The sequence below is a fragment of the Homo sapiens genome, chromosome 4, assembly GCF_000001405.40.
Source record: "Homo sapiens chromosome 4, GRCh38.p14 Primary Assembly".
Taxonomy (NCBI): Eukaryota; Metazoa; Chordata; class Mammalia; order Primates; family Hominidae; genus Homo; species Homo sapiens.
Window position 1 is genome coordinate 8,938,362 of NC_000004.12, and position 26,037 is coordinate 8,964,398.

At 49.8% G+C, this 26,037-nt stretch overlaps 2 pseudogenes; both read left to right on the forward strand.

Moving 5' to 3' along the window:
* On the forward strand, positions 11,243-12,259 carry OR7E85BP (olfactory receptor family 7 subfamily E member 85B pseudogene; annotated as a pseudogene).
* UNC93B8 (unc-93 homolog B8 (pseudogene)) lies at positions 21,266-25,640 on the forward strand (annotated as a pseudogene).
* The last annotated feature ends 397 nt before the right edge of the window (positions 25,641-26,037 follow it).

The window sequence follows — 26,037 nt, forward strand, 5'->3', positions numbered from 1 at the left end:
CCCAGCTGTGCCTGGCCAGGGCGCAGGTGACGTGCCCAGCTCCGACCGGCTCCCTGGATGGCCGAGGGCAAGTTGCCATGCGTCTTTGGGTCTCAGTTTGACTACATCTGAGGCACAGAATCTGTTGTTTCTAAAATGTGTCACAAAATGTCCAGATGTCCCCCTAAAATGTGTCACAAAATGTCACAGATGTCCCCCTACATCTGTTGTTTCTAAAATATGTCACAAAACCCCAAAATATTTGCTGTTCCCACCCATTTTGGCATTTGTGTCTTGAAATGTATTTTTATTCTCTTGTTGAATTGTGATGATTTGATCAATCCCAAAGGCACCTTGGGCATCTGCCCCGAGGGACAGGACGCAGCCATGGCTCCCCCACCCCATGAGAAGCTCAGGTGTCCAGAAACAGGCAGACATGGAGCAGAGGGGAGCAGGTATGTGGGGGGCAGCAGTAGAGGGGGTAAGTCCGGGGGCTTCCTGAGGAGGGCCAGGAGGAATTAGCAGTTTCAGGGGTGCTGTTCTTCATGGGGGTAAAAGTCCCATTTCCTTGGGGCTTCTGCAATATGGCCCCAGCTGGGACCCCTCCCTCTAGCCTCTGGATTCTGTCTTGGGGTGGCACAGATGGAAGGCAGGGCCCGGACGGCACCTGCAGCTGTCACCTGACCTCTCACTGCTCATCTGTAGGATGGGCCAGCGACACCCACCTGTGAGCCCCCTCCCACCTTCCTGACGGTCCTGTCCTCTAAGGGAACTCTGCCAGGCAGAGAAGGGTGGCTGCTGACAGTCCTGTCCTCTAAGGGAACTCTGCCAGGCAGAGAAGGGTGGCTGCACCTCCACCCCACCCAGGTCCCCCAAGGCGTGCCATATCCCTCTTCTCTCACCAGCTGCTCTGTCTCCTCCCTGCTGGCCTGGGCGAGACAGAACCTAGGGGCTGCCTTTCTGTCCCACACAGGCCCTCAGCCCCCTGGTCCCCAAAGCTCAGCTGGACACAGGCTACAGCAATGAGACAAAACTCAAAGGGCCCAGAAATAACACCAGGAAAATAGCACAGAGAGACTGGTGGCCTCCCCACCACGCCCTAGCCCAAGAACCCTGCTGTGGCGGGGCGGTCCCTGGCTCTCAGCCTTGGTGGCTGCCCTTCCTCCAACATCCCCAAAGAGAAGCAGGTCCCTTTTCATTATGGGCATGCCCTGGGACCCGCCTCTCCTGGGGGCTGTCCAAGGGCCTCACCCCGCCAGCCCACACTGCCCAGCTTCCTCGCGAGGGTTACACAGACGGAGCACCGACCCGAGGTGTGCGGAAGAGGGGTCCGTGATGCTCCAGAGCAGCCCCCACACACCTGCAGCTCCCTTCCCAGTCTCACCCTCCCCATCCCCTGAATCCTAAGGATTGTTCAGCACAGAGCTGTGAGCCGAACATTGTGCTGGTGCTTGGGGCCTCCCTGCTGGACAAGACAATCACTCCTCCACTCATTCACTCTCTGGGCTACAGTGTCTTTGCGCAGGGAGTGCGTGTGGCCCCAGCCCTGAAGGAAACAGCTGTCCTGAAAGAAATACCCAGCTCCCTCCTGTGGAAGCTCGGGGCCTCCAAGAAGCCAGGACAGCATCTGTTGGATTTCCTGGGGCCCTGGGGAGGGCACAGGAGAGAACCGGAGTGGGGAGGGGCGTCAGGGAGGGTGGGGTGGGCAGAGGCACAGTTCCTGAGCAGCGCTGTGGAAGCTTCCACTGGCCCCCAGGCCACTAGGAAGTCCTGGAGCTGGAATCCCCTCCCCCGGGAGCCTCCCGCTGTAGTCAGCCATCCCGGTGTGGGGTGTGGGCGCAGCGACGGAAGGCTCTGCAGACAGCCGATCCCGGGGGCCCAAGTCCATGGCCCAGAAACAACTTTTGAAATGTATTTGGGCAACTGTCCAACCTGGAAACCTTGTAGGAGGAAGGGCCTTGTGTTATTCTCCAAACAGCTGCACCGGGTTTGATGGGCACCCGGACTACTGCAGGCCTCACGACTGCAGTGTGACCGCGCGGCCGTGCACACCGTGAAGCTGGCACCATGTAGGGTACTGATCATGTCCTCCCGGAGAACCAGGGGGCTGCCAGACCCGAACTCTGTGGGTGCAGCAGATGCTGCGGCTGCACCCACCCCGTGTGGCCTCGGCAGACCCAGGGCCCTGGGAGTTCTCGGTTTACCCATCTGTGAAATGGGCTGCTCCCAGCATCACTGCTCTGTCTCTGACCCTCCTGGTGACGCTGGGGTCACATTGGTCTCCATCTGCCCTCATGTCATCCTCAGATGTGACTAGCTCAGGCAGAAGAGCTGGCGAGCATCTAACTCTGGCTGTCTCCGGGGAGCAGTCGTCTCATCTCCTTACCCCTTGCAGATACTAAGGACCCACGTGGCCCCATCAGCTGGGACCAGGAGGAGAGCCCTGGCCTGTGCACGAGCTGACTTTCTATCTGACACAGAGAGCCTGTGGTGCCGTCTTTGGTTCAATGTAACGCCAGGGTGAGAAACGGACAACTTCTAGCCTCCAAGGAGACCCTGGGGCATGGCGGCAGACCCTCGCTGCACTGAAGGGTCTCCGGGGCTCCAGGACCCAGGCAGCGAGCGGTGCGGCCCCACCTCTCCACCGTCCGCCTCTGGGAGCCTCGGTTTCCTCAGCAGGGATCATGACACTTCATGGCTACTCTCATTCAGGGGGAGGCTGTGTCATCGCCACTTTGTAGATAAAGGAAATGAGGCCCAGAGACGTTGATTAACCACCCAAGGTCACACAGCCAGAATCTAAGCCCAGGTCTGTCCAAGGCCTATCCAGATTTTTCTTCCAGGAAGGCCCTCCCTCTTCTTTCCCGTCTTCCCATCACCCATCTCTTTCCTCTTCCTGTCCTCTTCTCACCTCTTCTTGCCTCCCCTCCCCCTTTCCCCCCTTCTTCCCCTCTCCTCCCTCAATTTCTCCTTCCTTCCTCTCTCCTCCCCAAGCTCTCAGGTGAACTTGCGTCCCACCTCTTATGGCGAATGGTCAGCAGGTGGCAGCAAACCCCGCCTTCCTGCGCTGTAGGAGGCGGTGGTCAACCTCTCCTGCAAACTCTCCACCTTTGAATATTAAGAACAATATCTCCTGCAACATCTCCACCTTTGAATATTAAGAACAATATCACAGACTGGTTGTACACCCCCTGCGATATTGGGAGTCATATCAGCCTCTCCTCTCCATGGATATTAGGAATAATATCCCAGGATGGGTGTACACCTCCTGCTGTATGGGGAGTCATATCGTCCTCTCCCTTCTTGGCTGCTAGGAACAATGTCAGAGGGTGGGTGTACACAGCCTGCGATATTGCGAGTAATATCACCCTCTCCCTCTCTGGATATTAGGAGCAATGTCACAGAAGGGGTGTACACCTCCTGCGATACTGGGAGTAATAGCATTCTCTTCTTCCGTGAATATCAGGAGCAAAATCACCGGGTGGATGCACACCTAGTGCTATATTGGGAGTAACGTCATACTCCACCCCTGGAGATTATCTTTGGATCAATATCACCGGCTGGGTGTACACCTACTGCGATATTGAAAGTAATATCATGCTCTCTCCCTCCCTGGACATTAGGAGCAATAGCACAGGTGGGTGTACACCCACTGAGGTATTAGGCGTAATATTAGTATGAATTATTCCTCATTTATTATTAACATGAATATGAATGACCGGTATTAATATTAATATTAAGAAATAATTGCTAATAAAAAGTTTTCAGATTATTAATATTAATATTAATTATTAGGAGCTAATATTACTGTTTTCTAATGAATAAGATCAATATCAGTTATTAATATCAGGCATCATTAATCATTAATATTCATCATTTATTGTTATAATGAGTAAAACTCTTTAATATGAATTATCATTATTATCGGTATTGATTTTAAAAATTATATTATCAGTTATTAATATTGATAATTATTAGTGTCAATTAATAATTGGGATTATTAATTGCGGTAAGTCGCATTGCGCCATTCCACCCCTCCCTCGGCAGCTCGTTTACGACCCAAAACGGGGACACAAATGCCCCTGAGAGAGCAGCGGTATACTGGGATAGATGTGGATGGTCACGTGGTGGAGAAGCGTGTTTTTGGGTACCAGCCCTTCACCTGCGTCGACCTTCTCTACTGGAAAAACAATACACCGCCCTATACCAAAAAGCCACAAGCCCTAATTGATTTGCTCCAAATTGTTATCCAGACCCACAACCACACCTGGGCTGATTGGCAACAGTTGCTCACATTCCCTTTAACAGAGAAGAAAGGCGGAGAGTCCTCCAAGCAGCAACTAAGTGGCTAGAGGAGCATGCACCAGCTGATTATCAAAACCCCCAAGAGTATGGAAGGACCCAGTCACCAGGAACCGACCCCCAGTTGGACCCACATGAAAGAGAGGATATGCAAAGGCTAAACCGAGACAGGGAAGCTCTCTTGGAAGGATTAATGAGGGGAGCGCAGAAGGCCACAAACGTTAACAAGGTCTCTGAGGTCATTCAGGGAAAACAGGAAAGTCCAGCACAATTCTACGAGAGACTGTGTGAGGCCTATCGTATGTATACTCCCTTTGATTCCGATAGCCTTGAAAATCAGCCCATGATTAACATGGCTTTAGTCCGTCAAAGCGAAGAAGACATGAGAGGAAAACTGCAGAAACAGGCTGGGCTTGCAGGGATGAATCCATCCCAATTACTAGAAATAGCTAGCCAGGTGTTTGTAAACAGGGATGCAGTAAGCCCTAAGGAAAACGGCAAAGAGAATGGAGGTCAGGCCCGGAGACACGCCGCCCTGTTTGTCAGCTGCAGCAATCAGAGGGACCCCCCCAAAGAGGCAAGGGAAGGGGGGCCCTGGGAAAGAAACTCAGCTTGGCTGTCAGAGTTTGCAGCGTAACCAGCGTGCTCATTGTAAAGAAATAGGACAGTGGAAGAACAAATGCCCTCAGCTCAAAAGAAAACAAGGTGACTCAGAGCAGGAGGCCCCAGACAAGGAGGAAGCGGCCCTGCTCAACCTGGCAGAAGGGTTCTTGGACTGAGGGAGACCGGACTCAAGCGTCCCCAAAGAGCCTGTGGTCAGAATGACAGTTGGGGGTGGAGACATTGACTTTCTTGTAGATAGCGGTGCTGAACATTCGCTAGTAACCGCCCCGGTCACCCACTTATCCAAAAAGACTATTGACGTCATCGGAGCCACGGGGGTTTCAGGAAAGCAAGCTTTCTGCTTGCCTCGGACTTGTACTGTAGGAGGACATCAAGTCATTCATCAGTTTTGGTACATGCCTGACTGTCCCTTGACCTTTTTGGGAAAGGATTTGCTCAGCAAGCTGAGAGCCACTATCTCTTTGACAGAGCACAGCTCTTTGATGCTAAAGTTACCTTTAACGGGAGACATTATGAGGCTTTTGCTCCCCCGAGAGGAGGAATGGAGACTTTTCTGAATTGAGCCGGGCCAAGAGAGAAGACCAGCTCTGGCTAAGAGGTGGCCAAGAGTACAGGCAGAAGACAACCCTCCAGGATTTGCCAGTTAAGACTGGGGCCCAGCCAGTGAGGCAAAAACAGGACCCGGTCCCCACAGAAGCCCTTCAAGGTATCCAAGTCCGTCTCAAGCACCTAAGAAGTTTTGGAATTATTGTTCCTTGTCAGTCTCCATGGAACACTCCCCTCCTGCCTGTTCCCAAGCCACGGACCAAGGACTACCGGCCGGTACAGGATTTGCACTTGCTTCATCAAGCTACACTGACTTTCCCTCCAACAGTACCTAACCTGTCCACATTGTTGGGGTTGTTGCCAGCTGAGGACAGCTGGTTCACCTGCTTGGACCTGAAAGATGCTTTCTTTCCTATCAGATTAGCCCCTGAGAGGCAGAAGCTGTTTGCTTTTCAGTGGGAAGATCCGGAGTCAGGTGTCACTACTCAGTACACTTGGACCGGGCTTCCCTAAGGGTTCAAGCACTACCCCACCATCTTCGGGGAGGCGTTGGCTCAAGACCTCCAGAAGTTTCCCAGCAGAGACCTAGGCTGCGTGTTCCTCCAGTAGGTTGATGGCCTTCCGCTGGGACACCCCACGGCACTCGGGTGTGCCAAGGGAACAGATGCCCTACACCGGCACCTGGAGGACTGTGGGTAGAAGGTGTCCAAGAAGAAAGCTCAGATCTGCCGACAGCAGGTACGTTACTTGGGATTTACTATCCAACAGGGGTCCGAACACAGCCTGGGATCAGAAAGAAAGCAGGTCGTTTGCAATCTAGCAGAGCCTAAGAGCAGAAGGCAGGTGAGAGAATTCTTGGGAGCTGTGGGGTTTTGTAGACTGTGCATCCCAAACTTTGCAGTATTAGCCAAGCCTTTGTATGAGGTCACAAAGGGGGCGGGGAACGGGAACCTTTGGAATGGGGATCCCAACAACAGCAAGTCTTTCATGAGTTAAAGGAAAAACTTCTGGCATCCCCAGCCCTGGGGCTACCCGATCTGACAAAGCCTTTTCCATTGTATGCATCAGAGAGAGAAAAGATGGCAGCTGGACTTTGAACCCAAACTATGCGGCCCTGGCCGAGGCCGGTGGCCTACCTCTCTCAACAACTAGACGGGGTTTCTAAAGGATGGCCCCCCTGTTGGAGGGCTTTGGCAGCAACTGCCCTGCTAGTACAAGAAGCAAATAAGCTGACTCTTGGGCGAAACCTGAACATAAAGGCCTCCCGTGCTGTGGTGGCTTTAATGAATACTAAAGGACATCATTGGCTAACGAATGCCAGACTCACTAAGTACCAGACTTGGCTCTGTGAAAATTCCCGTATAACCATTGAAGTTTGTAACAGCCTACACCCCTCTACCTTGTGTCCCGTATCAGAGAGCCCTGTTGAGCCTTATTGTGTAGAAGTGTTGGACTCAGTTGACTCTAGCAGACCTGACCTCCGGGACCAGGCTTGGGCATCAGTAGAGTGGGAACTATACGTGGACGGGAGCAGCTTCTTCAACCTCCAAGGAGAGAGAGGTGCAGGGTATGCAGTGATAACCCTGGGCACTGTTGTTGAAGCCAGATCGTTGCCCCAGGCCACTTCAGCCCAGAAAGCTGAACTCATTGCTTTCATTCTGGCCTTAGAGCTCAGTGAGGGTGAGACTGTCAACATTTACACTGATTCTCGGTATGTCTTTTCAACCCTTCAAGTGCATGGAGCGTGATAGAAAGAAAAGCGCCTATTGAACTCTGGGGGAAAAGACAGAAAATATCCACAAGAAATCTTGCAATGATTAGAAGCAGTATGGAAACCCCACAAGGTGGCAGTTAGGCATTGCAAGGGACACCAGCGAGCTTCCACCTTGCTGGGTTTGGGGAATTCCCGTGCTGACTCAGAGGCTGGAAAAGCAGCATCTGCCCCCTTCCGGGCATCAGTGCTCCCTCAAGCACCTGATCTTGGACCTACTTCTTCTAAAGAAGAAAAGGACTTTCTCCAGGTAGAGGAAGGACAAGTGATGGAGGAAGGATGGATTCAGTTACCAGATGGGAGAGTAGCTGTGCCACAGCTGCTAGGAGCTGCAGTTGTACTGGCTGTGCAAGAAACCACCCATCGAGGTCAGGAGTCACTGGAAAAGTTGTTAGGCCGGTATTTCTACATCTCACCTTTGTCAGCCCTTGCAAAAACGGTGAGGCAGCGGTGTGTTACCTGCCGACAGCATGATGCGAGGCAAGGTCTAGCCGTTCCGCCCGGCATACGAGCTTATGGAGCAGCCCCATTTGAAGGTCTCCAGATGGACTTCACCGAGATGCAAAAGTGTGGAGGTAACAAGTATGTACTAGTTCTTGGGCGCACCTACTCTGGGTGGGTGGAGGCCTATCCAACACGAACTGAGAAAGCTTGTGAAGTAACCCCTGTGCTTCTTCGAGATCTGATTCCTAGATTTCGACCGCCCTTACGGATCGGCTGAGACAACGGGTCTGCGTTTTTGGCTGCCTTGGTACAGAAGACGGCAAAGGTATTGGGGATCACGCGGAAACTGCATGCCGCCTCCCGGCCTCAGAGTTCCGGAAAGGTGGAGTGGATGAATCGGACTATCAAAAATAGTACTATTGTCTTCCCCGCTGGATATTTAAAACAATACCACAAGTTGCGTCAAACCACCTGCTAAATTTGAGGGAAAGTTATCCTCTCCCCCAATCCCCCGGCCCCGGATATTAGAGACAATAACACAGGGGTGATGTGCACCCACTACTTTATTGGGAGTAATATCATCCTCTCCCTTCTTGGATATTAGGAATAATATCACACTGTGTGTGTACGCCTGTCGCGAAACCTCCCTGGATATGACGAACAATATCATGGGGGATGTACAACTTCTGAGATATTGGGAGTGATATCATCCTCTCCCCTCTGGAAGTTAGGGACAATATCACAGGGGTAGTGTACACCCTCTGGGATGTTGGGACTAATATCATCCTCCCGCCCACTGGATATTAAAAAGCATATCACAAGGGGGGTGTACACACACTTCGATATTGGTTGGAATACCATCCTCTCCCTCTTTGGATATTCGGTGCCATATTTCAGGTGGGGTATACAGCACCTGCAATATTGGAAGTAATATGATTTTCTCTCCCCCTGGATATCAGAAACAATATTACAGGGGGTTGTGAACAACCCCAGCGATATTTGCAGTCATATCATCGTCTCCCCTCACGATTTTTAAGAACAATATCGTAGGGGTGGGGGATGTACACCCCCTTTCATATTTGATATCATCCTCTTCCCCCCTGGATATTAGGAGCAATATCAGGAAGGGATGTACAGACCCTGCGACCTTTGCTGTCATATAATTGCCTCTCCCCTAGATATTAGGAAAAAATGTCACTGGGGATGTGAACAGCCCTGCGATATTGAGAGTAGTATCATCCTCTCCCCCCTTGCATATGGGGAACAACATCACAGGTGGGGTGTACTGCCTCCGTGATATTGGGAGTGAAATTTTCCTCTCTTCCCCTGGACATGAGGAAGGGTATCAGAGGGGGAGGGTGTACATTCCCTGCGATATTCAACGTAACCTTATCCTCTCCCTCCCAGGGTATTCAGAACAATATTACAGGAGGGGTGTACACCCTCTGCGATATTGAGAGTCATATCATCCTCTTTCGCTCTGGATGTTAGGAACAATATCACAGGGTTGTGTACACCCCCTGCGATATTGGGAGTAAGATTATCCTCTCCACCCGGGAAATGACTAACAAGGTCACGGGGGGGTATACTCCCCCTGCGATATTGGGAGTAATGTCGTCCTCCCCAAACCTGGATCTTAGCAATGAGATCACAGAGGGGGTGTACACACCCTGCGACATTGGAAGTAATATGATCCTCTCCCCACCTGGATACTGGGAAAGATAGCACAGCGCGGGTATACATTTCCTACGCTGTTGGGAGTAATATCATTCTTTTCCTTTCTGGATATTAGGAAGAATATCACAGGGGTGCTGTACAATTACTTCGGTCTTGGGAGTAATATCATCCTCTATTTTCCTGGATATTGGGCACAAAAACACAAAAGGGTGTACAACCCCTGCGATATTGGGAGTAATAGCATGCTCTCCTTCACTGGATGTTAGAAAACAATATCATCAGGGCTGAACACCCCCTGCGATAATGGGAGTCATGTTTACTCTTTCACAGGCCATTTGGAACAATATCACGGGGGGTGTTTACAAACAGGGGTGGTGTACACCCCCTGTGATATTGGGAGTGACATCATTCTCTCCACCTCTGGATATTGAGAACAATATCCCGGCGGGAGGTGGTACACCCCCAGTGATATTGCGAATAATGTCATCCTCTCCTTCCCTGGATATTAGGAACACTATCACAGGGGGGTGTACACCTTCTGTGATATTGGAAGCAATAACATCCTCTCCCCCACATGATATTAGAAAAAAATATCACTCACGGTTTACATACACCCACTGTGATATGAGGAGTAATATCTTCCTAGGGTATTACGAATAATTTCACAGTCTGTACACACATGGTGTACACTCACTGTGATATTAGGAGTAATATCTACCTGGTAGATAACAAAAAACATCGCAGGATGTACACCCACTTTGATATTAGCTGTAATATTTTTCTAAGTTGTTACAAATATCACAGGGTGTACAAACATGGTGTACACTCACTGTGATATCAGGAGTCGTATCTCTGTAATATATTATGAATAATATCACAGGGTGTACACCCACTGTATTATTAGGAGTAAGATCTCTGTAGGATATTACAATTAAGATCACAGGGTGTAGAGCCACCGTGATATTAGGAGCAATATCTTTCTAGGATATTACAAATAATATCACAGGGTGTACGCCCACTCTGCTATCAGGAGCACTATCTCCCTAGGATATCAAAAATCCTATCACAGGGTGTCCAATCTCTGCCTTCCATGTTCTAAGGGATTCTCCCGCTTCAGCCTCCTGAGTACCTAGAGTTACCCGCCACAACGTCCGGCTAATTTTTTTTTACTTTCACTGGAGATGGGGTTTCACCACGTTGGCCAGGCTGGTCTGGAACTCCTGACCTCAGGTGATCCATCAGCCTCGGCTGCCCAAAGTGCTGGGATTACAGGTGTGAACCATGGTGCTGGACCAAGAGTTATATATTCAATTCATTTGGAAACACAGCTCCCATTTTAGAGTGTGCATGTACTTTTATGAAGAAATGATGTCAGAAAACAGAAGGATGATAATAAATATGAAAAGTAACAGGCATGTGAAAAGCTCTTCCGATTGAGAACGATAAGGTTCGATTTCATTTTCAGATAATGGGGTCCTAGCTCTTGTGTCATCCTTTTACATATTCTACATCAATGGAAGTTGTAGCACGGTGTCAGAATAAAGTAGAGTGTATTTCATGGCTTCTTAATTTCTTTCAATTAGACTGAGATCTTTTTCTTCAAGAGAGAAGGACATTGTCATTGCATTGCATTTTTTCTGAAAAGAGTAGGCCGTATTTTACTGAGATCACGGATTTGTGATATATGACGTTTTGGTCTTCTAATATTCTTCAGTGGATTTTCTCTAAAATAGTATGTACAGAAAGCCTTGTATAGCAAAAAAGTAAATCACGTAATAATTCTGAGATTGTTGGAATTGTCACAACTGAGAAACATTGCTGGCGGCGTATGGTCCGCAAGTGTGAAGACGTTCCTTGTGAATTGCTTGCATCTAGCATTAACGGCTGGTTTTTATCTTTTATTTTTCCAATCCTCTTTCCTTCTCAAGGTGTCCAAGACACACAGAGCCACGGAATCTCACAGGTGTCTGAGAATTCCTCCTCCTGGGACTCTCAGAGGATCCAGAACTGCAGCCGGTCCTCGCTTTGCTGTCCCTGTCCCTGTCCATGTATCTGGTCACGGTGCTGAGGAACCTCCTCAGTATCCTGGCTGTCAGCTCTGACTCCCCCCTCCACACCCCCATGTACTTCTTCCTCTCCAACCTGTGCTGGGCTGACATCGGTTTCACCTCGGCCATGGTTCCCAAGATGATTGTGGACATGCAGTCGCATAGCAGAGTCATCTCTCATGAGGGCTGCCTGACACAGATGTTTTTCTTGGTCCTTTTTGCATGTATAGAAGGCATGATCCTGACTGTGATGGCCTATGACTGCTTTGTAGCCATCTGTCGCCCTCTGAATTACCCAGTCATCGTGAATCCTCACCTCTGTGTCTTCTTCATTTTGATGTCCTTTTTCCTTAGCCTGTTGGATTCCCAGCTGCACAGTTGGATTGTGTTACAATTCACAATCATCAAGAATGTGGAAATCTCTAATTTTGTCTGTGACCCCTCTCAACTTCTCAAACTTGCCTGTTCTGACAGCGTCATCAATAGCATATTCACATATTTCCATAGTACTATGTTTGCTTTTCTTCCCATTTCAGCAATCCTTTTATCTTACTATAAAATCGTCACCTCCATTCTCAGGATTTCATCTTCAGATGGGAAGTATAAAGCCTTCTCCACCTGTGACTCTCACCTAGCAGTTGTTTGCTGATTTTATGGAACAGACATTGGGATGTACCTGACTTCAGCTGTGTCACCACCTCCCAGGAATGGTGTAGTGGCGTCAATGATGTACGCTGTGGTCACCCCCATGCTGAACCTTTTCATCTACAGCCTGAGAAACAGGGACATACAAAGTGCCTTGCGGAGGCTGCGCAGCAGAACAGTCGAATCTCATGATCTGTTCCATCCTTTTTCTTGTGTGGATGAGAAAGGGCAACCACAGTAAATCTCTACATCTGCAAATCCTGCCCCTTAGTCACATTCTTTTTGTGGCTTGATGGCTTTTATTCCTTTCCGCATTTCCTTTGTGAATATTGCTTTCTTCATTATGCCTTGAACTGGAATGGGTGAGGATTCTGGGACCCTTTGTTTAGCAGAAACCTCATGACAGAATCCTCTATACCTAGGCAGCCTCTTTTAGTTTCTGAGCAATAACCCTGTCATCCAGGTGGAATCACAACCATCTTTTTATATACACGAAGTCCTCACTTCGTTTTGGAATTCCCTGAAAACTGACTTAATGGAAACAATGTACAGGAGGTCCTCCAACACAATTGGTTGTTCAAAGTTGTGTAGTTGTACTGTTGATGAAAAATAGGTGGTTTCACTGTACATAATTTTGCTTCAAGGTGAAGTTTCCAAGAGACTTTCAAAGATGTTAAGTGAGGACATACTGTACATCAAATTCATATCCTCTTCCACAGTTCATGTGGAGTTTTTTTATGAACTGCTTCTAGAGAATCTATTTAGGCAGGTTAAGTGTAGAGATCCATGTCGCCGTTCCTCAATCTTGGCTTTGAGTCAAATCACCTGGGGAGCTTACAAATGATGAGGCCTGGGTCTCAATACCTGAGATTCTGATTTCCTTGCACCTGTGTGAGTATGTGGATTTTTTTTTTCTTTTAAAGCACCAGAGGTGGTTCCAATGACGAAGTTTTTAGAGGCATCAAGCTCCAATGAGGAAGAACAGAAATTAATTGTAATATGATTTCTTCAAATATTATCTTCAAATGCATTGTCCATCAACACCATACAAATGTTTATTATGCTGTTTTTTCTTACCATTTCGCATTTTCTATTTCTTTCTTTTCCTTTTTTTTTTTTTTTTTGAGTCAGAGTTTCACTCTTGTTGCCCAGGCTGGAGTTCAATGTCACGGTCTCGGCTCACTGCAACCTCTGCCTCCCATATTCAAGCAATTCTCCTGTCTCAGCCTTCCAAGTAGCTGGGATTACAGGCATGCGCTACCATGTCTGACTAATTTTTTTTTTTTTTGTATTGTTAATAGAGACAGTGTTTCTCCATTTTGGTCAGGCTGGTCTTGAACTCCCGACCTCAGGTGATCCGCCCGCTTCCGCCTCCCAAAGTGCTGGGATTGCAGGCATGAGCGACCTTGCCCAGCCACCACTTAGCATTTACATTTTACCTTTCTTCAAGTTATAGATTTATACACACATTGGTTGCTACTTTATTATACACTTGCATATACATAAGATGGGAAATAGAAAAGAATAAAATGGGCACAGTATCCCTGAAGTTTCATATTCCGAGACATTTTAAAATTATTTGCTCTTCAGAAATTTGTTTCAATGAAGAAACTGTGGTATACACACCCAGTGAAGTATTATTCAGCCTAAAAAGGAAGAAACTCCTCTCCGCTACAGACAAAATGGATGAGATTGCAGGTCTTTATATTAAATGAAATAAGCCAGGCAGAGAATGACAAATATTTCATGTCCTCACTTCTATGTAGGAAGAAAGAAGGAAACCTTGGCCAGGTGTGGTGGCTCAGGCCTGTCATCCCAGCACTCTGGAAGGCCGAGTCGCACAGATCACTTGAGTCCAGGAGTTTGAGACCCGCCTGGCCAACATGGTGAAACCCCGTCTCTACGGAAAACACAAACAATGAGTCAGGCGTGGTGACGCGTGCCTGTAGTCTCAGCTACTCGGAGGGCTGAGGCCCAAGAAGCACTTGAACTCGGGGGGCGGAGCTTGCAGTGAACCCGGATTGTGCCTGCGTACTCCAACCTGGGCAACAGAAAGAGACTCCATCACACACCTACACACAAAAGGAATCTCAGGAAGGTGGAAAGTATAAAGGTGGTTAGCAGACGCTAGGAAGAAAACAGGTGGCATAGGGAATGAAGACAAGTGGATAATTGGGTCCCAAAATACAGAAAGATAGAATAAGTGAGTTCTAGTATTTGATAGTACAGTATGAAAATTTTAGTTCACCAGAATTGCTTGCATATTTCCAGATGCTTTGGTAAGAAGCTTCCTAACTTTCTCATTATGCTGGTTTTTAAGCTATTCTCTTTCTGTTCTTGAAATCATGCTGGTTTTTTTTTTGTTTGTTTGTTTTGAGATGGAGTTTCACTCTTGTTGCCCAGGCTGGAGTGTCATGGTGCAAACTTTACTCACCGCAACCTCTGCCTCCTGGGTTCAAGCGATTCTCCTGCCTCCACCTCCCGAGTAGCTGGGATTACAGGCATGCGTCAGCACGCCCAGCTAATGTTGTATTTCTAGAAGAGACTGGGGTTTCTCCCTGTCGGTCAGGCTGGTCTTCAACTCCTGACCTCAGGTGATCCGCAAGCCTTGGACTCCCAGAGGGCTGGGATTACAGGCGTGAGCGACTCCGCCCGGCCCATGCTGTATCCTTATCTGTTGTCTGTTGTTGTTTGTTTGTTTTGGAGACCAGAAATAACTTCTCACCTATATGTTCAAATGATTTTTCACGAGTGCTAAGAAAGCTCATTGGTGGAAAAGCAGCCTTTTCAAGAAATGGTGTTGGAGAAACTTGATTTCCACATGCAGAAGAATGAAGGTGGACCCTATGTCACACCAGGTGCAAAAATTAACACAAACTGGATCAAAGACCTCACCCCAAGTGCTAAAAGTATCATACGCCTAAAAGAAAACATTGGCCCTACTTTCATGACATCAGATTGGACAATGTTCTCTGGGATATGACACCAAAAGCATAGGCAACAAAAGAAAATTAGATTCCTTGGATTACATCTAAATGACAGATACTTTTGTGCAGCAAAAAACACTGCGAACTGAGTGAAAAGATAACCCATGGATTAGGAAAAATATTTGGAAAGCATATATCTGAAAAGAGGCTGATAGCCATCATATATAAAGAACAGCTAGAACTAAACAACAAGAAACCCAAAGCATCCCATCAACAATGGTCAGAAGACTCGAGTAGACATGTTCCTAAAGAAGATATAGCAATGGCCAATAAGCATCTAAAATGATGTTCAAAATCACTCATCATAGGGAAGCACAAATCAAACCAAGAATGTGATACCACACATTAGGATGGATATGATAAACAAACAGGCATTGGTGAGACTAGAGGGAAGTAGCAATGCTCGAATATGATCGGAGGGAATGTAAAACCGTGAAGGAATGGGGAAAATAGTATGGCGTGTACTGAAAAAATTAGAAACAGAATGATCAGATGTTCCCGCAGTTGCATTTGTGGGTACCTACCAAAAAGAATTAGAAGCCAGGAGAGGAAGAGAGACTTGTGTACACCCATATTCATAGCAGCATTATTCACAACAGCCAAAATGTGGAAGCAAACCAAGGGTTCGTGGACAGATGAATGAAAAAGCACACTGCAGTTCCTTCATACAGTGGAAGACTATTCAGCCTTCAAAAGGCAGGCACTTCTGGCCGGTGCGGTGGCTCACGCCTGTAATCGTAGCGTCTTGGAAGACCGAGGTGGGCGGATCACCTGAGGTCAGGAATTCAAGACCAGCCTGGCCATCTTTGTGAAACCCTGTCTCTACTGAAAATGCAAAAAATGAGAGGAGCGCGGTGTCGTGTGCCTATAGTTCCAAGTACTCAGGAGGCTGAGGCACAAGAATGGCTGGAACCCGGGAGGCGGAGGTTGCAGTGAGCCCAGATTGTGGCGCTGCACTCCAGCCTGTGCGACAGAGTGAGACTCCATGGAAACACAAAACAAAACAAAGTCAAACGAACAAACAAAACCAAAAAACAAACAAACAAAAAAACAACAGAGAGGCACTTCTGACGCAGGCTGCAACATGGATGAACCTTGAAAACATTATCGTCACTGAAATAAATAAATCCCAAAAGGATAAACACGCCCAGGCTCGGTGGCTCGCACCTGTAGCCCCAGCACTTGGGGAGGCTGAGCCAGGCGGATCACTTCAGGTCAGGATTTCGAGACAAGCCTGGCCAATATGGTCTCTATTAAAAATACAAAAATTATCTGGGCGTGGTGACGCACGCCTGTAATCCCAGCTACTCGGGAGACTGAGACACAGGAATCGCTTGAACCCACAATGTGGAGGTTGCAGTGAGGCGACATCACGTCACTACACTCCAGCCGGGGTGACAGAGAAAGACTCTGTTTCCAAAACAAGAAAATTAAACACGGTATGATTCCACTTATCTATCAAGTGTCTAGAGTAGTTAAACTCATAGAGTTGCAAACTAGAAAGGTGGCCCCCAGGGGCGGGCGAGAGAGAGGAGTGGAGAGCTTGGTGAAAGGGTGCAATTTCCATTTTGAAAGATAAAACTGTTCCAGAGACGATGACGGTGATGGTTGCTAAACAATGTGAACGTACTTAATGTCATGAAACTGTAAACTGAAAAAGCGTGGAAACAGTAAATGTTTATACTGGCCATTCTATATGAACTAATATATATTTATAATTTTTCATATTTATACGTGGTATATTTTCCCATAATAAAAGATGAAAATTAAAGCAGTTGGATGTTTAAAAAGAAAAGAAAGAAGTGAAGAATACACACCAGCTTTCTCCTGATTAGAGGAAGAGCCCCAAAACTTCTATGGACACTCACTTTTCTCTTCTACTTCTTGCATTATTATGAGGAAATCCTTAGAGGTTGGGGAACTTGGGTGACTTTGGCTAATAAGGAGCTCTGTGCCTTGAGCCCCCCAGGCCACAGAATAGTAAATAGTCAGTCTGTGCCTCCAGCCCTGCAGTGTGAGGTTGCAGTCCTGTGGGCTCCACTCCCGTCACCTGTATCAGGAGGCTCATGTCTCACCCTGTCTTCTTGCCAGCCTTGAGGACGGAGCCTGAGCCTCCATGGTGCACCACAAAGGGAAGACAGTGGACATGTTCTCCGTGGTCATGGCCCAGCAGATGGGAAGGGCAGTTCAGTGAGTGTAGGCAAAAGAGAGAGAGATCAGACTCTTACTGTGTCTATGTAGAAAGGAAAGACATAAGAGACTCCATTTTGAGAAAGACCTATACTTTCAACAATTGCTTTGCTGAGATGTTGTTAATGTGTAGCTTTGCCCCAGCCACTTTGACCCAACCTGAAGCTCACAAAAACATGTGTTGTATAAAATCAAGGTTTAAGGGATCTAGTGCTGTGCAGGACGTGCCTTGTTAACAAGATGTTTCCAAGCAGTATACTTGGTAAAAGTCATCGCCATTCTCTAGTCTCAATAAACCAGGGGCACAATACACTGTGGAAAGCCACAGGGAGCCCTGCCCTTGAAAGCGGAGTATTGTCCAAGGTTTCTCCCCATGTGATAGTCTGAGAAGTGGCCTCGTGGGAGAAGAAAGACCTGACCGTCCCCGAGCCCGACACCAGTAAAGGGTCTGGCTGAGATGGATTAGTCAAAGAGGAAAGCCTCTTGCAGTTGAGAGAGAGGAAGGCCACTGTCTCCTGCCTGCCCATGGGAACTGAATGTCTTGGTATAACACCCGATTGTACATTTGTTCAATTCTGAGATGGGGGTAAAACCGCCCTATTGTGGGAGGTGAGACACGTTTTCAGCAATGCTGTCTTGTTATTCTTTACTCCACTGAGATGTTTGGGTGGAGAGAAACATCAATCTGGCTTGCGTACGAGTCCAGTCATAGTACCTTCCCGTGAACTTCATTATGACATAGATTCTATTGCTCACATGTTCGTTGCTGACCTTCTCCTTATTATCACCCTGCCCTCCTACTACATTCCTTTTTGCTGAAATAATAAAAATAATAACCAATAAAAACCGAGGGAACTCAGAGGCTTGTGTCAGTGCAGCTCCTTGGTATGCTGAGCGCCGGTCCTCTAGGCTCACTGTTGTTTCTCCATACTTTGTCTCTGTGTCTTATTTCTTTTCTCAGTCTCTCATCCCACCCGACTAGAAATACGCACAGGTGTGGAGGGACGGGCCCCCCCTTCAAGTGAGTGCTGAGGGACGGTCAGGAACCTTGTTTTGTTTCCTCCTCAGGACAGACAGCAGAGTGAGCTGGGCAGATGGGAGGAGACCAATGTGCAAACTATCCGCTCAGCAGAGTGTGGAGTTTCTGTTCTTGATTGTGCTGGGGTCTCAGAAATCTACTTCAAAATTTTGCTACCCTCCCCCACTGGTTGTCCTTTTCATAGATATCTCACCCACGATAGCAGGGAATGAGTCCCTCTAAACTATTCCCTCAGGAATAGTGAGAGCCAGCCCCTCTTCCCACCCTGGATTTTAGGACCCCCATCGCAGGGGGGTGAGGCACCCCCCGCGATGCGGGGAGTAAGAGCCAGCCCCTCATCCCCCCCCGGCTCTTAGGACCCCCATCGCAGGGGGGGTTAGGCACCCCCCGCGATGCGGGGAGTAAGAGCCAGCCCCTCTTCCCCCTCTGGGTTTTTAGGATCCGCAGTGGACTCACAGTCTGTTTACCACATTGTGAGTAATATCATCTCCCCTCTGGAAATTATGAACTATTTCACAGACGGGTGTACACCGTCTGTATTGGGAACAATATCATCCTCGTCCTCCCTGAATATTAAGAACAGTAACACAGGGGTGTTTCTACTCCCTGCGGTACTGGGTGTCATATCCTTCTCTCCCACGTTGCAATTAGAGACAATATCATTGGGGGCATGTCCACCTTCTGTTATATTTAAAGTAAGATCATCCTCTTCCCTCCAGGATCATGGGAACAATATACCTGGGGGGTGTACACTTTCTGCCATATATGTAGTCATATCAACCCCTCCGCCTTGGAATATTACGAAGGACCATCTCACACGGGGGTGTACACTTCCTGCGATATTGGAAGTAATATCAACCTCTCGGCCTCTTAATATGAGGAAGAATATCACAGGGTGGGTGTACACCTCCTGCTCTATTATGGGGAGGCATATCTATCTATTATGGGGAGTAATATCATCCTCTCCCTTTCAGGATATTAATAACAATATCACAGGCTGGGTGAACACAGCCTATGATGCTGGAATTATTGTCACCCTCTCCTCTTCGGGATACTAGGAACAATATCACAGAAGAGGTGTACACTCCCTGCGATATTGGGAGTAATATACGCTTCTTCCCTGAATATTAGGAGCAATATCACCGGGTGGCTGTACATTCATTGCTATGTTGGCAGTCATGTCATACTCCACCCGCTGGATATTAGGATCAGTGTCACAGGGTGAGTGTACACCTACTGCGATATTAAAACTAATATCAAGTTCTCCATCCCTGGATATTAGGAACAATATCACAGGTAGGTGTACACCCCCTGCGGTATTAGGAGTAATAATATTATGAATTATTAAACATCAGTCTCATTAATGATTATAAATGGTAATATTAATTAATAGTATAACTTTATTAGTCATTAATGATTATTTTAAAGATATGATTATGCATGATTAAAATTAATTCTTACTATTAATGCCATTTTTAATAATATTAGTTATTAATATTAACATTAATCATTGTTTTATTACCAACATCACTTATGATGGATTTAAGTAACATTAATTACTGATATTATTATTTTACTATTAATATTGATATTGCTATTATTAATTGTAATCATGAATATTTTTAATCCACATTAAGTTTTACTGTCTCCACTGTAGTTATTAATATCAATGATTACTGTTAATTGTTATTATATTTATTAATATTAATAATTAATAAAACTGTTCCCGATATCCGTGGGGGAGAGGATATGACTCCCAATATCGCAGAAAGTGTACAACCCTCTATGATGTTACTCCTAATAGCCAGGGGGTAGAGGATGACATTATGGAAAATATCGCAGTGGGTGTACATCCCTTCGATTATGTTGTTCCTAATATCCTGGGTGGGAGAGGATGTTACGACTCCCAAAATCGCAGTGGGCGGAGACATCTCCTGTGATACTGTTCCGAACATCCAAAGGTGGAGAGGATGATATTTCTTCCAATTTCGCCGGGGGTGCACACCACTCCTGTGATATTGATCCTAATATCCGGGGGGCGAGAGGATGATATTAGTCTGAATATTGCAGGAGGTGTACAATCCCTAGGGTTATTGTTCCTAATATCCAGGGACAGAGAGGATGATATCACTCCCATTATAGCAGGAGGTGTACACCCCTTGTGTGACATTGTTCCTAATAGGCAGCGGGGGAGAGGAAGATATCACCACGAGTATCGCAGGGGGTGTACACCCCCTTGTGACATTGTTCCTTCTATCCTGGGAGGGAGAGGAAGATACTAGCGGCAATGTCGCAAGGGCTGTACACACCCACTGTGATATTTTTCCGAATATCTGGAGGGGGAGAAAATGATGTTACTTCCAATATCGCAGGGGGCTTACATGCTCCTGAGATATTATTTCTCAGGTTCAGGGGGAGAGGATGATATTACTGCCAATATCGCAGGGGTTGTACACACCTCCCGTGATGCGAGGAGTAAGAGCCAGCCCCTCTTCCCACCCTGGCTCTTAGGACTTCCATCGCAGGGGAGTGAGGCATCCCTCGCGATGCGGGGAGTAAGAGCCAGCCCCTCTTCCCCTCCTAGCTCTTAGGACCCCCATCCCAGGGGGCTGAGGCACCCCCCGCCATGCGGGGAGTAAGAGACAGTCCCTCTTCCCCCACTGGCTCTTAGGACCCCCATCGCAGTGGGGTGAGGCACCCCCGCAATGCGGGGAGTAAGAGCCAGCCCCTCTTTCCCTCCCTGGCTCTTAGGACCCACATCGCAGGGGGGTGATTCACCCCCCGCGATGCGGGGAGTACAAGCCAGCCCCTCACCCCCCATGGCTCTTAGGACACACATCGCAGGGGGGTGAGGCACCCCCCGCGATGCGGGGAGTACAAGCCAGCCCCTCACCCCCCATGGCTCTTAGGACACCCATCGCAGGGGGGTGAGGCACCCCCCGCGATGCGGGGAGGGCTGAGACTGGGGTCTGGGCTGTTCCGGACTTCAACACTCACCCCTTGTCCCCACGCAGGGCTATGGTGTGTGCTCGGCGGGGCTGGAGCGGCTGGCTTACCTCCTTGTGGCTTACAGCCTGGACGCCTCAGTCGCCTCACTACTGGGCCTGCTGGGCTTGTGGCTGTCACGCCCGGTTTCCCTCGTGGCTGGAGCAGGGGTGCACCTGCTGCTCACCTTCATCCTCTTTTTCTGGGCCCCTGTGCCTTGGGTCCTTCAACACAGCTGGATCCTCTGTGTGGCAGCCGCCCTTTGGGGTGTGGGCAGCACCCTGAACAAAACTGGACTCAGCAGTGAGTATAGCTGTGGGCACTGGGAGGGCAGGGCAGGGGGCTTTATGGCTATCTGTGGGTGGTTGGCTAGACATAGACATCCCAGGGACAGATATGGGGTCCCATGGTCACATAGCATCCTGTGGACATGACAGAGTCCAGTGGGTCTTCCTGTGGACACTCCAGGGGTGGAAGGGAAGTCTCATGGACACACTGGGGGCAGATGGGTAGGGCGTGGACACCCTGGAGACAGGTGTGGGGGTTCCACGCCATGGACATTCCATTAATACCCCATGGTGGGCACAGGGCCCCATCAACACTGGAGCATCAGTGTGAAATCTCGTGGCTACAGGGGGCAGGTGTGGGGCTCTGTGGACACCCCTTAGGGACGGTATGAAAAACACATCAGGGATTCTTCCTTTTCATACCAGGGGACAGGGCTTACCCTGGCATATTTTTCATGACACTTGGAGCAGATGTTTTGGTCTCTGCCTCACAGAGCATGTGGTAGGAGCAAGTGGCCTGTTGTACATCCACGGCATAGATACAGACATGGGCCTTTGTATAGAGAGGAGCAGGCCTGCAGCCCCAACCCAGTCTGCTCAGTACCAGAGTCCAGGCCCCAGGTCTGGGCTGCTGGGGAACAGGGCCCTGTTTGCAGAAGGCAGCGGGTGGGCCCATGTTCAGCTCCAGGATGCTCCCTGCCCACAGATGGGCACATGCAGTGACACACAGCTAGCACACATGGGCACAGTCCTGCAGGGCATCCATGTCAGTGTCTGTTCTGATGGGCCGAAACTAAGAACAGTTTTGAACGTCATCCTTGGGGGTGTGGAGTGGCAGAGGTCATGCCTGCTCCTGGCAGGGCAGAGGGTGGCTCGGTGTCTCTGTCTGTAGCAGGGGCTGGAGCCTCATACTGCACCACAGTCTCTTGGCCGTTTTGCCCAAGGATAGTCAATTCTGGGCAGAGTCCATCCTGGGTATCTTGGACCCATGTTGTGCCCTGTCTGGTCATGGCATCCCCTCTGCCCAGCTCCATATCCCATCTCCTCCGGTGAACCCTGGGGGATCCTTGTCTCTTCATAGCAGCACTGTGGGGGTAAAGTCACCCTGCAGGGCCCCAAGACAGGAGTGTTCATGTCCTGAGTGCCTGGTGAAGGTGTTAATAGTGGCCCCTATGATTTGGCAGGTGCCATGCCCACTTTCTCACTTTAGAACTTCAGAACACAGCACACAATAGGCATAGGCTCATCTCACCATTGGGAAAAGCAGCTCTGGGGAGTTAAGTACCCAAATCACCCACAGAGCCAACGTTACAGTCCTGAGAACGAGTGTGCATCTTCTGACTCCCAATGCATTACTCTTGTTGCCCACCCTGGGAGGACTCACTGGAAAGGAAGCCCCCTCTCCATGCTTAGCTTCAGGTTTGATTTGCAGAGTTGGCAGCTGCAAACAGTTCGATCTCTCTAGTCCAGGCTGAGAAAGAGAAACAGCGCCTGCAAGCTTGGTACTGCACACCTGGGGTTGGGGACAGGACATGACTAAGCACAGAGCTTTCTTCTTTTGAGGCCACGCATGTGGTGCGGAGCGGGACCACCTGCATCCACACAACCCGGCACACCTGCTCCTACTTCTGCTTAGCGTGTGAGCAGCGTGGTGACCAGGGTCTCCACCAGGGGGCAGGCCAGGACCAGCTTACAGCACTTTCTAGGCGCTCTCTGGTCCCGGGCTGGGACACATACAGGGCTTAGTAAAGTTCGTAGATGGTAGCTAGGCAGCCCCAGGCCCCAGGTGACACCTCTCCCCTGACTGCCCTGTACTGCCTGCCTGCAGCACTCCTGGGAATCTTGTACGAAGACAAGGAGAGACAGGACTTCATCTTCACCATCTACCACTGGTGGCAGGCTGTGGCCATCTTCACCGTGTACCTGGGCTCGAGCCTGCACATGAAGGTGAGACTGGGCAGGGTTGGGGGCCCCATGCCCAATGACAGGTATTTCCTTAGCCCCTGCCCTGGCTTCACAGCTTCCTAAACGCCACCCCTTCCCAAGCCAGTCTCTGGGCCAAGGCCCCATTCCTGCAGCCCACTGGGTGGCCCCCAACTCAGCACCCCACTTACTGGCCCACCTCCAGCCAGTCTCAGTTTGCCCACCTCTGAGGGGATTTGTGGGTGCATCACAGCCATCCTGTGGGCTGTTTGGTACCCTGTTGTCCAGATGTTGCGTCTGTCTCCCTTCATGTCCTGAACGGGAGCAGGCTTCTCATGCTCTGCTCCCAAAAGATGGTGGCTCGGTCTAGCAAGTCCCAGTTGCTAAACATTTTTTAAAAATAGAACTAAAGGCCGGGCACGGTGGCTCACGCCTGTAATCCCAGCACTTTGGGAGGCCGAGGCAAGTAGATTGCCTGAGGTAGGGAGTTTGAAACCAGCCTGACCGACATGGTGAAACCTCGTCTCTTCTAAAAATACAAAAATTAGCTGGGCGTGGTGGCAGGTGGCTGTAATCACAGCTACTCAGGAGGCTGAGGCAGGAGAATCGCTTGAACTGGGAGGCGGAGGTTGCAGTTAGCCGAGACGGGGCCTTGGCACTCCATCCAGCCTAAGCAACAAGAGCGAAAATCCATCTCAAAATAAAAATAAAAATAAAAATAAAAATAAAAATAGAACTAAAAATAGCAGGGAGTGGGCTGGGAGCAGTGGCTCATGCCTATAATCCCAGCATTTTGAGACGCTGAGGTGGGGGTATCACCTGAGATCTGGAGTTCGAGACCGGCCTGTGTAACAGGCTGTGAAACCCTGTCTCTACTAAAAACACAAAAATTAGTTGGGCATGGTGGCACGTCCCTGTGATCCCAGCTACTCTGGAGGCTGAGGCACAAGAATGGCCTGAACCTGGGAGATGGAGGTTGCAGTGAGCCAAGATTGCGCCACCGCACTTCAGCCTGGAGGACAGAGCGAGACTCTGTCTCCCAAAAAAAAAGGAAAAAAAGAAAAAAGAAAAGCAGTGAGTGGGCTGGGCATGGTGGCTCACGCCTGTAATCCCAACACTTTGGGAGGCTGAGGCGGGAGGATTGCTTGAGGCCAGGAGTTCAAGACCAGCCTGGGCAACATAGGAGACCCTGTCTCTACAAGAAATTTAAAAATTAGCTGGGCGTGATGGCGCGTGCCTGTAGTTCCAGCTGCTTGGGAGACTGAGGTGGGAGGATGGCTTGAGCCTGGAAGATTGAGGCTGAAGTGAGCGTGCCACTGCGCTCCAGCAGTGGGTGGGGGAAGGGAGGGAGGGGGCGCGGTGGGGAAACGGAGCGACCGTGTCTGGAAAAAAGAAAAGAGCAGGAAGTATGCATACAGAGGTGTGTGTGTGTGCTGAGCTATGGTGTGAAATCATTCCTGACTGCGGGTTATAGTCAAATCCCCATGAAGAGCATCACTGCAGCCCACGGGTGTGTCAGGGACACAGTGTTGTGAGCCCTGGGAAGGCAGGGCCTGTGGCCAGCACTTTATCAACACTGGCACATGCACCCTATGAGGCAAAGGGATTTGCATTGTCCCCTTACAGCGTGGGACACTGAGGTCGCCAGGGGCATGGCGACTGTAAGGGACAGTGCTGGATGTGAGCCTCGCCTGCAGGAGGCGGTCCAGGAAGCGTGGGTGGAGCGGCTGGAGAAGTTGAGGGTCGCGTGGCCCGGGAGGCTCCCGGAGGAGGGAAGGGCCTATCTCAGAGAGGGGCATAGGCGAGGAAGGTGCGGGGCAAGGCGGCCGCGGGTCCCTGGCATCCCTCTCCTTACGCCCAGGCTAAGCTGGCGGTGCTGCTGGTGACGCTGGTGGCCGCCGCGGTCTCCTACCTGCGGATGGAGCAGAAGCTGCGGCGGGGCATGGCCCCGCGCCAGCCCTGCATCCCGCGGCCCCAGCACAAGGTGCGAGGTTACTTCTACTTGGAGGAGGACAACTCGGACGAGAGAGACGCGGAAGGCGAGCATGGGGACGCCGCGGAGGAGGAGGCGCCGCCCGCGGGGCCCAGGCCTGGCCCCGAGCCCGCTGGACTCGGCCGCCGGCCCTGCCCGTACGAACAGGCGCAGGGGGGCGACGGGCCGGAGGAGCAGTGAGGGGCCGCCTGGTCCCCGGACTCAGCCTCCCTCCTCGCCGGCCTCAGTTTACCACGTCTTAGGTCGGGGGCACCCCCTCCTAGTCCCGCGCTGTCTTCAAAGGCCCCTGTCACCCCTCCCCCACGTTGGGGACGCCCCTTCCAGAGCCCGTGTCACCTCCGGGCTTCCGCAGCCCCCCTCCAAGGCGGAGTGGAGCCTTGGGAACCCCTCGGCCAAGCACAGGGGTTCGAAAATACAGCTGAAACCCCGCGGGCCCCTAGCACGCGCCCCAGCCCCGGAGCAGGGTCAGGGTCTTCTTGCGACCCGGCCCCGCTCCAGATCCCCCCAGCTCTCGGCCGCGGACCCGGGCCGCGTGTGAGCGCGCTTTGCACCTCCTATCTCCAGGGTCCTCCGAGAGCCACGATTTTTTACAGAAAA